The sequence below is a fragment of the Homo sapiens genome, chromosome 7 (genome assembly GCF_000001405.40).
Source record: "Homo sapiens chromosome 7, GRCh38.p14 Primary Assembly".
NCBI lineage: Eukaryota > Metazoa > Chordata > Mammalia > Primates > Hominidae > Homo > Homo sapiens.
Genome location: NC_000007.14, coordinates 21,249,312 through 21,262,313, shown reverse-complemented (window position 1 = coordinate 21,262,313; position 13,002 = coordinate 21,249,312). Strand labels below are relative to the sequence as shown.

The 13,002-nt window shown below is 37.1% G+C and overlaps 1 annotated feature.

Moving 5' to 3' along the window:
- Positions 273 to 998: an enhancer, noted in NCBI's record as "OCT4-NANOG hESC enhancer chr7:21300935-21301660 (GRCh37/hg19 assembly coordinates)". NCBI's record gives its function as "activates a minimal SCP1, AML or CMV promoter by ChIP-STARR-seq in naive H9 embryonic stem cells {active_cell/tissue: H9 hESC(naive)}" and the evidence as "EXISTENCE:reporter gene assay evidence [ECO:0000049][PMID:30033119]".

Below are 13,002 nucleotides of genomic sequence, written 5' to 3'. Positions count from 1 at the left end.
AGGAGTGAAGGGACTGCTTTGTGCATGTCCTCATCATCTGTCTATTGCTCAGTTAACATCTGCATGGGGAATAGATTCATGAATGAATGAATGTGTGGATGTTTGGGTGTTACACTATGGACATTCACAAAACATTAATAGCTCAAAATTTGTGTTTCTATTTTCCAAATTCCCTTTAACATACACATTTTACAATGTTTGGTTTTCACGTGAACGACAACGTCAAAGGCAAGCATCAGAATAGCAGAATATGTTGAAAAGAGACTTGTTTTTTTCTTTCTGAGATGCAATTTTTATCCCAGTACCACCAGCCATGAGGGTGGTATATTGAGTATTTCCTGCTTTCTGCTCTGGTGGGACCACACTGCCTGGCCCTCTTGTGGTGGGGTAGGATAAGGCCATGTTACTTGTTCTTACAAGAGAGATGTAGGAGGTAATAATAGCACATGTCACTTCCAGGTCAAAGTATTGCTGGTGTGAGCCCCTCCAGAGTTTACTTCCCCTTAGCCACAGTGACCAGAATATTCCAGATATTGCTGTCAGCCAGGTCTCAGCGTGAGAACCACATGAATGAGAGTTCCCTGTCAAATGGAGATGGATGTGTTCTGTGAGCGAGCAGTTAACCTTTGTAATGTAAAGTCACTGAGATCTGGGGAGTGCCTGTTACTGAATGATAAGTTAGCTTTTCCCAATTGGTACTGTGTGGCAAACTTTTCTTCCTTATGCCTTATTCAGAGATAGTCGCTGAGTTCTACAAACTAGTAAACTAAGCACAGAAAAATTAACTCTCTCTCTAAAGATGGAATACAGTATAAATGCTGAAAGATTAAAAAAGGAAGTACTTCTGCTTTGCAACCCCAGTACCAAGTTGGAATGCCTTGTAGGCTTATGTCCTGAGGCTTTCATTTTTCTTTCCCTCCGAGCCAGTTAGACCAACGATGTTACCTAATTGGTTAGTAATTAGATGCAGTTCTTGACTGTGACATTTGGGGTCTTTTGAACATTTTCTATTTAAGTCCAGTGGTTGCAATATCGGGAAAAAAAAAAAAAAAACAGAATGTGGCCAATCATATTACCTCAGGGTTTGTTTTTTTTTTTTAGCCCTAAATGTCAGTAGCTAGATTGATACATATCACTTTCTGAAGTACAGGCTGTAAAACTAGGAGTTATAAATGTCAGTTTTGATGTGTGTTTTAGTGGCTTCAAACATCCCCAGTGGAGGAAACAAGCAGGCTGTTACTATGGAAGTTCCTTGTATTACACAGGGACCTACCAGGACTGGCAGTAATTGGTAACACTTGGAAAATCTATGGGGAAAGCAGTTCCCAGATCACTGAAAAAATCCTGGGCTTAAAATCAGAAGATCTGGGTCTGAGGATCAGCTATTTCATTCTGTGTGTTACGCTACTTTATGAGCATCTTTGAGAGCTTGGGGAAATCTCTTTACCTACACCTCAGCTGCCTCATCTGTTAAATACCAGGCAAAAGGCGTTCTCATGAAAAGTGCATGAGATGATGTGGAAACTCAGAACTACCTAGACTCAACGGAATTAACTTCACTCCTAAGGTTGGGTCCATGGATCATGTACCTGACCAGGAATGATAGCAGATGTAGATGCTACAGACAGACCTCTTGGCTAAATCACGACTAGACAATCCCAAAGGGTAAATATCAAACAGGGGCCATTTTTCATTTTTGGTGTTGGTTCAGGGATCTCTCTCAAAAATAAATGGTGGCCAGACATAATGGCTGACGCCTGTAATCTCAGCATTTTGGGAGGCCAAGGTGGGAGGATTGCTTGAGCCTAGGAGTTTGAGACCAGCTTGGGCAACATAGAGAAACCTCATCTCCATGTCAAAAAAAAAAAAAAAAAAATTAGGTAGGCATGATGGCATACACCTGTAGTCTCAGCTATCTGGGAGGCTGAGGTAGGAGCATCACCTGAGCCCAGGGAGGTTGAGGCTGCAGTGAGCCATGATCTTGCCACTGCACTCCAGCCTGGGGGACAGAGTAAGACCTTGTATCAAAATAAAATAAAATAAAAGGAAAGGAAACTGTCCATCACATAAGTGGCTTACACATCGGTATATGTGGCCATGCCTCAGCCCATGTGCTCTAGTGATTTCTGCCACTCTGGGCAATAAGGGCAAATTTGCATCCACGCCTTTGGTCTTTGAGGGGGAATGGCTCACAGTCTTCCTGGTTTGGGAACCTGCAGATAATAAGGAGGCCTGCCCACCGCAGAAGCATTTGCACAGTGTGAATGCCTGGAAGCATGGTGCTAATGTTTTAGCCAATTCCTCTGGCTCTTCCTCACCATCCCATGCTTGGAGTCTCATCAGTCAGCTCTCATCTCAAATTCTGACATTCACTAAGTTGGGCCAACTAAGAGGGGTGCTTAAATTTGGAGCAGAAATCATTTTGAGGAATAAATTTGGAATTAGCATCTTGGTACTGGCTCCAATTAAACAGTCCCTGAGCACAAGTGATGGAGCATGAGTCCAGAGTATGTTTTTCAAATCTTCATAATTTAGTATTTATAGGTATTCCTAGACATTTTGTAGGAAAAAGAAGACTGACCAGCAAGGGATTATAGTTTGCTTTGCCCTCTGTTAGACTTCCTTCTCTCAGGGCTTTATTTTATTGGGTTGCAAAAAATCTGTCCCAATAAATATTTGTTTGATCTTTTAAATTTGCTTTCCAAAAATTTCCATTCAAATATAGCCAAGAAAAAGATTCATTTAGGGTTTTCTTCATATGTGTGTATCAAGATAAAGATAATATAACCTGGAATCCTCAAAGTTCTTAGACACAGAAGTCTAGCATTAAAATTTGAGTTTGTCTTTTTTTTTTTTTTTTTTTTTTTGAGACTGATTCTCGCTCTGTTGCCCAGGCTGGAGTGCAGTGGCACAATCTCAGCTCACTGCAGCCTCTGCTTCCCTGGTTCAAGCGATTCTTCTGCCTCAGCCTCCCAAGTAGCTAGGATTATAGGCCCCCACCACCACACCCAGCTAATTGTTGTATTTTTGGTAGAGACAGGGTTTCACCATGTTGGCTAGGCTGGTCTTAAACTCCTGACCTCAAGTGATCCACCCACCTTGGCCTCCCAAAGGAGTTTGTCTTTTATAGCAATGTAGGATCTGCTATTTTCTCTCCCTTTGACCTTGAGGTCCTCATTCAAGCAAGGGGGCATTTCTCTCTGACATTTATTAAGAATTTACTATTTGCCAGGTACATGCGTATCTATGCTATTTGAGACTACCAAATAGCTCTGTGAGGTAGATATTTTATCCTCATTTTACTGATAAGAAAAATGTGGCTTGGGTGGACTAAGTCATGCCTAAGGTCACTTGGTTGATACATAGCACAGTTTAGGTTTGGATTCTGGGCATGTCACTCCTGAGTTAGTTGCTGTGTCTCAGTGGCAGTGATAAGATAGGTTCAGGAGTCCTGAAAAGTGGATCTGGGTAAATTTTAGGAAAACATGGAGAGGGAGAAGGGAGTTCTAAAAAGATAATGGGATCAGCAAAGTTGAGATAGTTTGAGGTATATTTACATGTGAGAGGACACAAGCAACTAGTTTGGATACCGGAGTTGTTCTTTCTGGAAATTGCTCTTTCCAGAAACATGGAACTACGCACCAATGAAGAAGGTTGGTAAGTCCATACAGCAGAATCTAACATAGCCCTTAAAAAGCCAAGAGATTAACATGTGGGGTCTGTGTGTTGGCCACTAGTTAATCTCTTTTCTCTTCTAAAAAAATGGGGGAAATAATAGTACCTACTTCATAGGGATGTTGTGGAAATTAATGGAACAACTCATGCAAAATGCATAGAAAGGTGCCTAGCACATGGTAAGCACTCAGTAGATGTGAGCTGTTATTATCTACACATACTGACATGAAAAGATGTCCATGATATCTTTTATATCCATGTGAATAGAGGAGGCTGTGAAACAGCAGAAAGAGTGTGATTCCACTTTTGTAAGTATGTATATGTGTATAGGAAATATCTGGAAGCATACATATCTTAATGTTAGCAGTGTTAATCTCTGTGTTTATAAGATCATTCTTTTCTTTTTTAACTTTTATTTTAGGTTTGGGGGTACATGTGAAGGTTTTTTACATAGGTAAAGTCGTGTCATGGGGGTTTGCTATACAGGTTATTTCATCACTCAGGTATTAAGTGCAGTACCCAATAGTTATCTTTTCTGCTCCTCTCCTTCCTCCCCCTTTCCATTCTCAAGTAGACCCAACAACAGAGTCTTGAGTAGACTCAACAATAGTGTCTGTTGTTTCCTTCTTTGTGTTCATGAGTTCTCATCATTGAACTCCCACTTATATGTGAGAATATCTGGTATTTGATTTTCTGTTCCTGCACTAGTTTGCCAAGGATAATAGCCTCCAGCTCCATCCATGTTCCCACAAAAGACACGATCTTGTTCTTTTTTGTGGCTGCATAGTATTTCATGATGTATATGTACCACACTTTCTTTATCCAGTCTGTCCTTGGTGGGCATCTAGATTTATTCTATGTCTTTGCTAAGATCATTATTTTCTTATAAGCGTGAATAATTTTTATAATTAGGGAAACTTGGGTTCCAAAACCAATAAAACAAAAATAAATAAACAACACAAGGAAAAAAAATCTTTAGCTTCTTTGTTTCTTAATTCCAAGGCAAGTGAGAGAAGAGGAAAATGACAAGGTATAAGTCTCATTTCTGTTACCTTGACCAAGTTATTTAACATGGGTCTTATACCTCACAAGATTATTATAAGAAATCTAGCAAGTGAGTATCTGAAAGCACCTCAGCTCTCATAAATATTTCTGTTCACTCATGGCCTCTTTTGCAGACTTTAGGAGAAGGATTTTGTTTTCAGGGCTCAGAAATTTGACAACCAGAATTTTGCCAATAATAATAGTAATAACAACAATGACAAAACATTGTCCAAACCTCAATGACTCTTATTTATATTTATTTATTTATTTTTTAGATGGAGTCTTGCTCTGTCACCCAGGCAGGAGTGCAGTGGCATGATCTTGGCTCACTGCAAGCTCCACTTCCCGGGTTCATGCCATTTTCCTCCCTCAGCTTCCCGAGTAGCTGGGACTACAGGTGCCCGCCACCACGCCCGGCTATTTTTTTTTTTTTTTTTGTATCTTTAGTAGAGATGGACTCTTCTTTATTTTAAATAAAATAATACATGCAAGGATTTCAGTGTTCTTTTAATCCTCTTCTAAGTGGATGTTATTATCTCTGACTATTAAGGTGACTGGAGGCAACTTAGTGCCCAACACCCCTAGAGTTTACACAAGGAAACAAACCATGTATTCTCCAATCACCATTCATATGTTCCAGAATCTCTTCTGTGTCATTTGTATAATAATATTATTAAGCTCCATTAAAACCCACAGTAGACTCATTTTGGAATTAGTAGGAATATACAGACAGGTGAGCAAGAAAACAAAATCTCTCTTCTCTCTTTCTCTCTTAGCAGGAGCTTGTCCCAAAGTCTCCACTGATTAGAAAAAAAATTAATGCACCAAAACATCTCAAATCAAAATAAATCTTACTTTATAACCAAACATAAATATCACAATGAAAAGGTTGAGTGTGAGGGAGTACAGAAGGGCAATTGTTAGAATTGTTAGTCCTTTGGTGATTTTTTATCAAAATGGTTTGAAGCCTCAGGCTTCTCAATCTCAAGTCATAACTTCACTTTGTTCACCTCCTAGATGCAAGAAGTTATGTGATTTAAATAGATATTTTATTTAAAACTTAGCCATCATAATAAATTTATCTATTTCCAACACGTTAGACTAAAAGCTGACTGCCCTCTGGTGGGCTGTTTCTAAAATATTTAGCACCTCTTTAACTGGATTGTATCGTAAAATATTACACAGTGCCATGAGATTATTTTATAATTCAATTCATTTAAATAACAAAATTATCTAGGGAAGGGGAAAACTTTAAAAGGTTAAATATACTTTACGTTATATATACTTTATTAATGTATAAGCAAATTATACTTTGAGTTTAATTTCTAACTAAAAATTAGTTTTCCCTTTAAACAGAATTTATTTTAATTTCCAATTTCAATTAAAATGGTGGAAAAGAAAATGTTTGAGACTTCATTGCATTTTTGAAATAAAACAAAATGAAAAATTTTGAAATGAGAATATTTTGATAATTTTGTTATTTTTCAGTTGTTTATAGCAATGGGAAAAGTGTTTATCATACTTAAGTTTTGTTCCCTGTCATTGTTTAAATGTAATCTTACTGTTTGAAAAAAGCAATAGAAGTGAGATCATTATATTCCTGATCAGAAAGAAAAACAAAATGATTATACTGTTTAAGGAAAGAAAAAGCTTGAAAAATATCAGATCAAAGTGTAAGGGCTAAGCCGAGAATAAGTAGGAAAGCATATTTAGGGAGTATTGGTAAAATACTTCGGAATCCTAAAAATCCCCAGTGCAGTATCATTCCTGTCATACAACAGGATCTCATTCTCTTCTGTTTGCAATTCCTCTCTAACGCAGAGGTTTCAGTGAGCTGAAATCTCAAGCACACCAACGAACTGAAGTTCTTAGTTTTCATGTTGCTATTTGGACTGTGTATATTAACAAACTCGAGCCATCACTGGCTCCATTTTGTCAGACTGTTACCACTAATCGAGAATTCCAGCTCACATTTTAAATGATTTCCTTAGCACATATCTCATTCTTATGCCAACAAACCTTGTGAATAGTATGTGAATTCACACTTAAAAAAGTGATTTCATATAAATAAAGATTGGGTATGAAGAAGTCAAGAATTGGCAAACTACTTAAAAAAAAATCTCAGAGCCTCTGTAAGGAAAATGAAAATGAGTACCAAACAATTTATCTGGTTAATTTCATCAGTACCAGCAACAAATCTGAAAACTCCATTTAACATCCTCTTTCCTTTTCTTCTAGGTAACAGTTTCTTGGAAATGGCATAAAGATTTTTTTTGTCTTAATTCCATTTAACACTTGCAAATAAACCTTGAAAGAAAACTCTTCCTTCATAACAATAAAATTGAAGATTGCAATCAAGTCATTACAATAGGTTAATTCTGTGGCTGCAAATACTCAAATTTAAGTGAAGAAGCAGGTAGAGGAGTATTTAAATCCGTGCAGATCCCAAAATGCAACCTCTCAGGCAGAAACATTTTCAACTTGCAACAGCAACCAGAGTTTATTTCTCCAAAATAGTCAAGAAAGTCACACTTTAAAAAATGTTAACTGCAAGTATTTGTGCAAGCTAACATTTTTTCATGTTGCTTTTAAACTAATTAACATATGAAATGGCCTTAAAATGTAAAGATATCACTTCTGTGAGATTTGATTTTTTCCATTTCAAAAGAAAGCAAATAGAAACATGGAAGTGAAGAAGTGAGTGCTTAGTGAATTACTGCTTTAAAATTGTGATACAATTTACTGTTTTATGAAGGCTCACTGGAACTTAGTTTGAAAGCAGTAACAGCAAACCAGGCTATCAATTTTTCCTCACCCTGCAGAGACAACGCTGAAGCTAAAGGCTTTTCTCAGCGGTTTTGCTTTCTGTTGATTTCCCTCCTTAAACCTGAAGGAATTAGAAATCTCTGTTCAGCGGAATTCTTACAGTTTTTCATTTTTAACATTAGTTAAGTGTATAGAGCCTGAGCATGTAGCATCATTGTTCATGCTAAATGTTCTATTCGGTTGCAGAAAAATTTGAAACGAAATATTTGCTTGTGTAGGTTGAATCTATACTGCACAGAGTAAAAAAGGAGTCGTCTTACGTAGCATTTCCAGGTATGTAGAAACTGAATAACTAGCGTGTTTATGTGTGTATCTATCTAAATACATAATTCCAACAATTGTGTCTGAATTTGCAATCATCTGTACTCTCTCAATATTCATTAAATCAATATTTTTATAATTTAAAATGTGATTTTTACATCACAAATGTGTATCGGCTAACGGGCAGCTCTGCGACTTCTAGTAGGAAAGCTTCTCTCTGTATCCTCCGCTGCGCATTACTTTTTCCATCAACAGAGGGCACTCTGTCGTTTGCCAAGGAACTCTGCTACGTTAGGGGGCTGAGGGCTGGGAATGCAGCATCTGACAGAGGAGGTTTGCAGGCTTTGCTCCAATAACGGGCAGAAGCTCTGCCAACTGGTCAGTGTATAATTTATTGGAAATGCTACTGATCACTGAGACAACATACCTGAATGAAAGAGAACCCCATGATTTACAAAAGTCGGATGCAAGTGACTTTTAAGTCAGTGGTGTGTTATAATTTGAGTATCACCCAAACGGTTAGTGTTGGAAATCACCATATGCATACAATCCGAATGCATGCTCAAATACAAGCTCACCTTGTAGAGAGAGTGACAGCTTTGTTTATGTTGCCTGCCCTAGCCCTGAGTGCAGGAGTGTCTTTACCATGCTTCCTTCAGTACAACTTAAAAATATTATAGCTGTTTTATATTTGATCCAAGAAAAATGAAATAATTCCTCATATAGTAATCTATCTGGGTTGTAATTGACACGTTAGAAAGGTTCTAGGAAGCTTTTCCTCCACCACAGGTTATAGAGAAGATTTCAGGTACCAGTGCTATTAATTTTTCACCAGTCAAAGGCACTAAATTTAAACTGAAAACTTGAAAGAATGAAAAAAGATGCACTTCAAGAGAATTAGATTTTCTTGGGGTATTTGTCCAAGATCTACATTTACCGATATGTAATTTATTAGATGCTTCAACACAACGAAGTAATCATAACCAGGTAGTACGAGGACTGCATTTACGCTCTGTGGAAGGAAAGTTTTCCGAATGTCTTAAAGCCGTTGTAAAAGCAACAGTGAGAAATCCTAATAGACACCAGAATCAACATATTTGACAGAAGTGTGTGCATTATCATGGCCCATTATTTTAAATGAGAGTGTTCTATCTCAAGAACTGGAATGATACCACAAATAATAGAATAAATGGGAATGTACAAGTGAAACAGCATGACAGCAACTGCTCAGACTCAGAAGAAAAGAGCATTCTCAGACACAGAGGTGTTCTAAAAATCCTCTTATGAGAAAATGTGCTCCATTATCACAGAAGGAAAGAACTGCAAGTTTTTCTTATGTTGAATGTATGTTTGTGTAATGTTAAGGATGACGAAGCAAATATTTAACAGCTAGGATACTGCATTACGGCTAACAGTCATTCCTTTATCATTTACCCGACTAGAAGATAAGTGCCGTTTTCCTTCTTTTGCAAATATATTTGCCAGCAGCTGTTTCAACATTTATAAAGACCATTTCCACTGATTGCCAAATAACCATAAATTCATTTACGCATATTTTTGAGTTGAAGGCATAAAAATAATTACATGTCTGATTAAATCCACTTCTGCCTTCATGTCTTACTAAATCTACAATAGATATGAATTGTTACACCGTATTACATCTAAGTGCATAAATAATACAATGCAGATGTAGAGTCCAGCTTTCCTACAGCAGAATGTGCAGCAATAATTTACACAAATACAGTTGGGATGTATTATTTAAAATAATTGATTTTAGAAATTGTTATGGAATCTCCGACACATAAAAGTAGGACTTCAACTTGAAAGCTGAAGAAAATGTTCTTGTTCATTATGGCTTCACTGTCCTGAAATACATACTAAATAATTATTTTAATAAGCTTGTCAGTAGACAAGAATAACTGAACTGAAAATTCCATGTCTTAAAACGCAAACTATGGAAAAATCATATATATACTTCCAAGTTGGGTGAATTCCTGAGGTATATTAGTTGCTCCTTCCACAACTTCTCTGCCTGCCAACCTCCCTTCATCACTCCATCCACCCCCACCCACCTCCTCTGCCACTTCTAACCAAGGTAATTTAAATGATTATAGTATTTGGAGAAAGGCTTTAAGGGACTGTTGAAAGTTAAGAATCACAACGTGTAGAAACAACAGTTTGATTCCACTCTTAACTCCCTGAAATAGAGATGGAATTTTGCTTTCTTTTGATCGAAACTCAGCTTATAATAACTTTAATCACATAATATTTAACCATATTTGTTATACCACAACACTTGGTAACACTTCATTTTGAGTGTTCCAGCATTATTAATTCATGTGGTATTCATTGTAATAACACAGATCATAATGAACTCATTTGGTATTCATGGGGATGTCATAAGTACTTCCATAGGAATTCTATTGCATTTTAGCATTAATTAAACATACTCCCTAACTTTCTTAGAAAAACAGAAATATACTGTATTTCCTAAGTACTATGTCTTTCAGTGGCACATAAACTGGGCTGATTATTAAATTCTACATTAAATTATCTGTATACATCTTTATGAACATATTATCTTATATGTGAAATAGCTAACAAAGATCAGTGTCTAGATTTTTGTGGATTATGATATATATTCTTAATAATCAGCATTTCATGAATGCAGAGAGAAGTGATATTTACAATGATGTTTCTCATACAATGAAGAAAAGACCCTATGTTGATTTCCAGATTAACATTTCTTTAATTTCTTAAAGAAAGATGTATATCTTTAAGAACAAGTAAGCAACCAACACTCAGAAAATGCAAGCTATCTAACCAGAGAGAGCTTTGCATGATGGCATTTTCCCTGATCGCTGCTGCCCATGCCTCTGTGGACTTTGTTCCTCTATGTTTGTCATCGTGGAGTGCAACTTGTGTGATGTCATTGACACAGCCAGGAAAAAATACCAGTCCCTATTAGCATCCAGAGCTGGCAAAACAAAGTGACTTCTCAAAGAATAGTACAAAACCATTTTAAAGCAGATCTCCTGAAATTTACTAAGCTTCAATCACATCAAGGTTTCTGAAGTTATGACACAGGCTTTAAATGTGTTCATAAAAGTAGCTGATTCTATTCTCTTTTCTGCCAGCAGAGATCACATTTCTCAGCCCTATCTTACTCTCTCCTTATGTTAAAGAAAAATAAGACCAGATTTTTGCGTATAGAAGATCCTGTGAGGAGTTTCAGCTTCCAGCACCAGGAGGCCCCTATGTTAATGTGAGGGGTTGTTTTTGTTGTTGTATATGTGTTTGATTTTTATTTATCTTTTTGTTTTGGCTTGTCACTTGTCTGGGAACTAAAATCAGGCAGCAGCATTAGGAAGTAAACCCTTGTAGGGAACTATATTTTCCCCCTACTACTTGACTCTGCAGTTTTCATGGGGGTGCCGGGAGGCAGGGCAGGGGTGGGGGCGCATGTGGGGTGGGCTGGGGAACTGTTTATCTCTTAAAGCACCTAAATGTGTCTTAAAGTAGAAATGTCTAAATACTAGTTAAACCTCGCATTATCTCTTCACTATTTCTCATTTGTGATGTGAACAGAAAACCACAGTTTAAAGAATAACGTCTTTACCAGGGAAACGTTCAACGATGTGGTACAATTGCAAGAGTCCTAACACTTTGAGAGTTATAATTTAAAAAATATTTTAACTAACACTAGCATTGCATGATCCCAAAGCAGAAAATGAGAAGGACAAGTGTGCAGTTAATGTTTATTTTTCCAGTACATTGAAAGATAATTCAGATGTTTTCTATGAAACCCCAGGCAGTGAGAATATTCAGTTCACAATTCTAATGTTGCAGAGGAGACAGATGCATTTTTTTCTCCTATGGTTTGTAACTCCAGCTACATTTAATAGGAACTGTGCATCAAGGTGTGGGAGAAAAAGCAGACTCCTGTTCTGTAGCTTTGAGAATTACCGACTATTCAGAATCTCCCTGACACCTGGATACAGTGGGGCAGGTTAAAAATGTTGCTTCCTGTGAATTCGAGGCTTTTGCTTTTTTCAACATTCGAGGCAGGCTTCTCATATACAAAAAGTACTTCAAAGGTATGCAATGTATTTTTTTGCTTGTTTGTTTGTTTAGGTTTGCAGTTCTCTCTTGCACTGAAATAGATTTAGTAAGCCAGTGTTGATTACCTTGATGTGGCCTGTTTAATAGCGGCAGATTCTGTTTTGCCACTGGTGGCAAACAATTTAATTAGGAACACAAAATAGCTGCCTGTTTTATTTCCCCCCTGCAAGTGTCTGCTCCTTGTCTAAGAATAAGAAACTACCACTGTAAAAATCTCTTCCTTTGAGCTGTCTCTAATGAAACTTCGCGATTCCACTTGTTTCTCTAGCTTTCTCTGCAACAATTTATTCTTTCTTTCTAAACAGTCCTTTAGGTATGCGAGGCCATTTGTAAATTACATAGTGTTCATAATATCATGAAATATCATGACTGCAGTTTATGGGCAGATGAAGGGGGATGAGTTGTAACAAGCATAGATGACACAAAATACATTGGGAGAGGAGTGAGGGGACACTGGTGCCAGCACAATTATTAAACTTTGAGTGGTACTTAATGAAGACACTAAATTAAGTGACCTTACCAATGGAGAGAGATAGCAAATGGGATTCTTAGGGAATTATCTTCCATTATCTTACAAAGAAATGAGGGGACACATTATCACAGACCAAGATGAAGAAAGTACGGATGAGCTGAATATTAGCAAATAAAGCAGTTTTGCTGAAAAAACAATGATCCCTTTAGAGTTGTCCTGAATGTGGTATATAAAATCACACGCTGTTGAAAAGAATATAATTTATGGTTTGGGGAGACACATTTTATACCGAGTTTTGCCTTTTTACAAACGTGTCTGGCCTAAGGCAAAAAAGCTTTTATTGTTTCTGCGATTAGTATAAAGTTCTGAAGAACACTGAGAACTAGAAAACCAGTAACATGCTATAGATTTCTCTCTCTGCCTTACTTAATCTGTCTGTGAAATGGGGTGGTAAATTCTCACTAACCTTTAGAAACTAAGTGAGGAATTATGAATACATGGTTGGATATATATCGGAGAAGATAGGCATACGTATGTATATATGTATATTTGCTCCCAGATGCCTTTCTATTGCAGTAGAATTAATATAGAGTAAATGACCA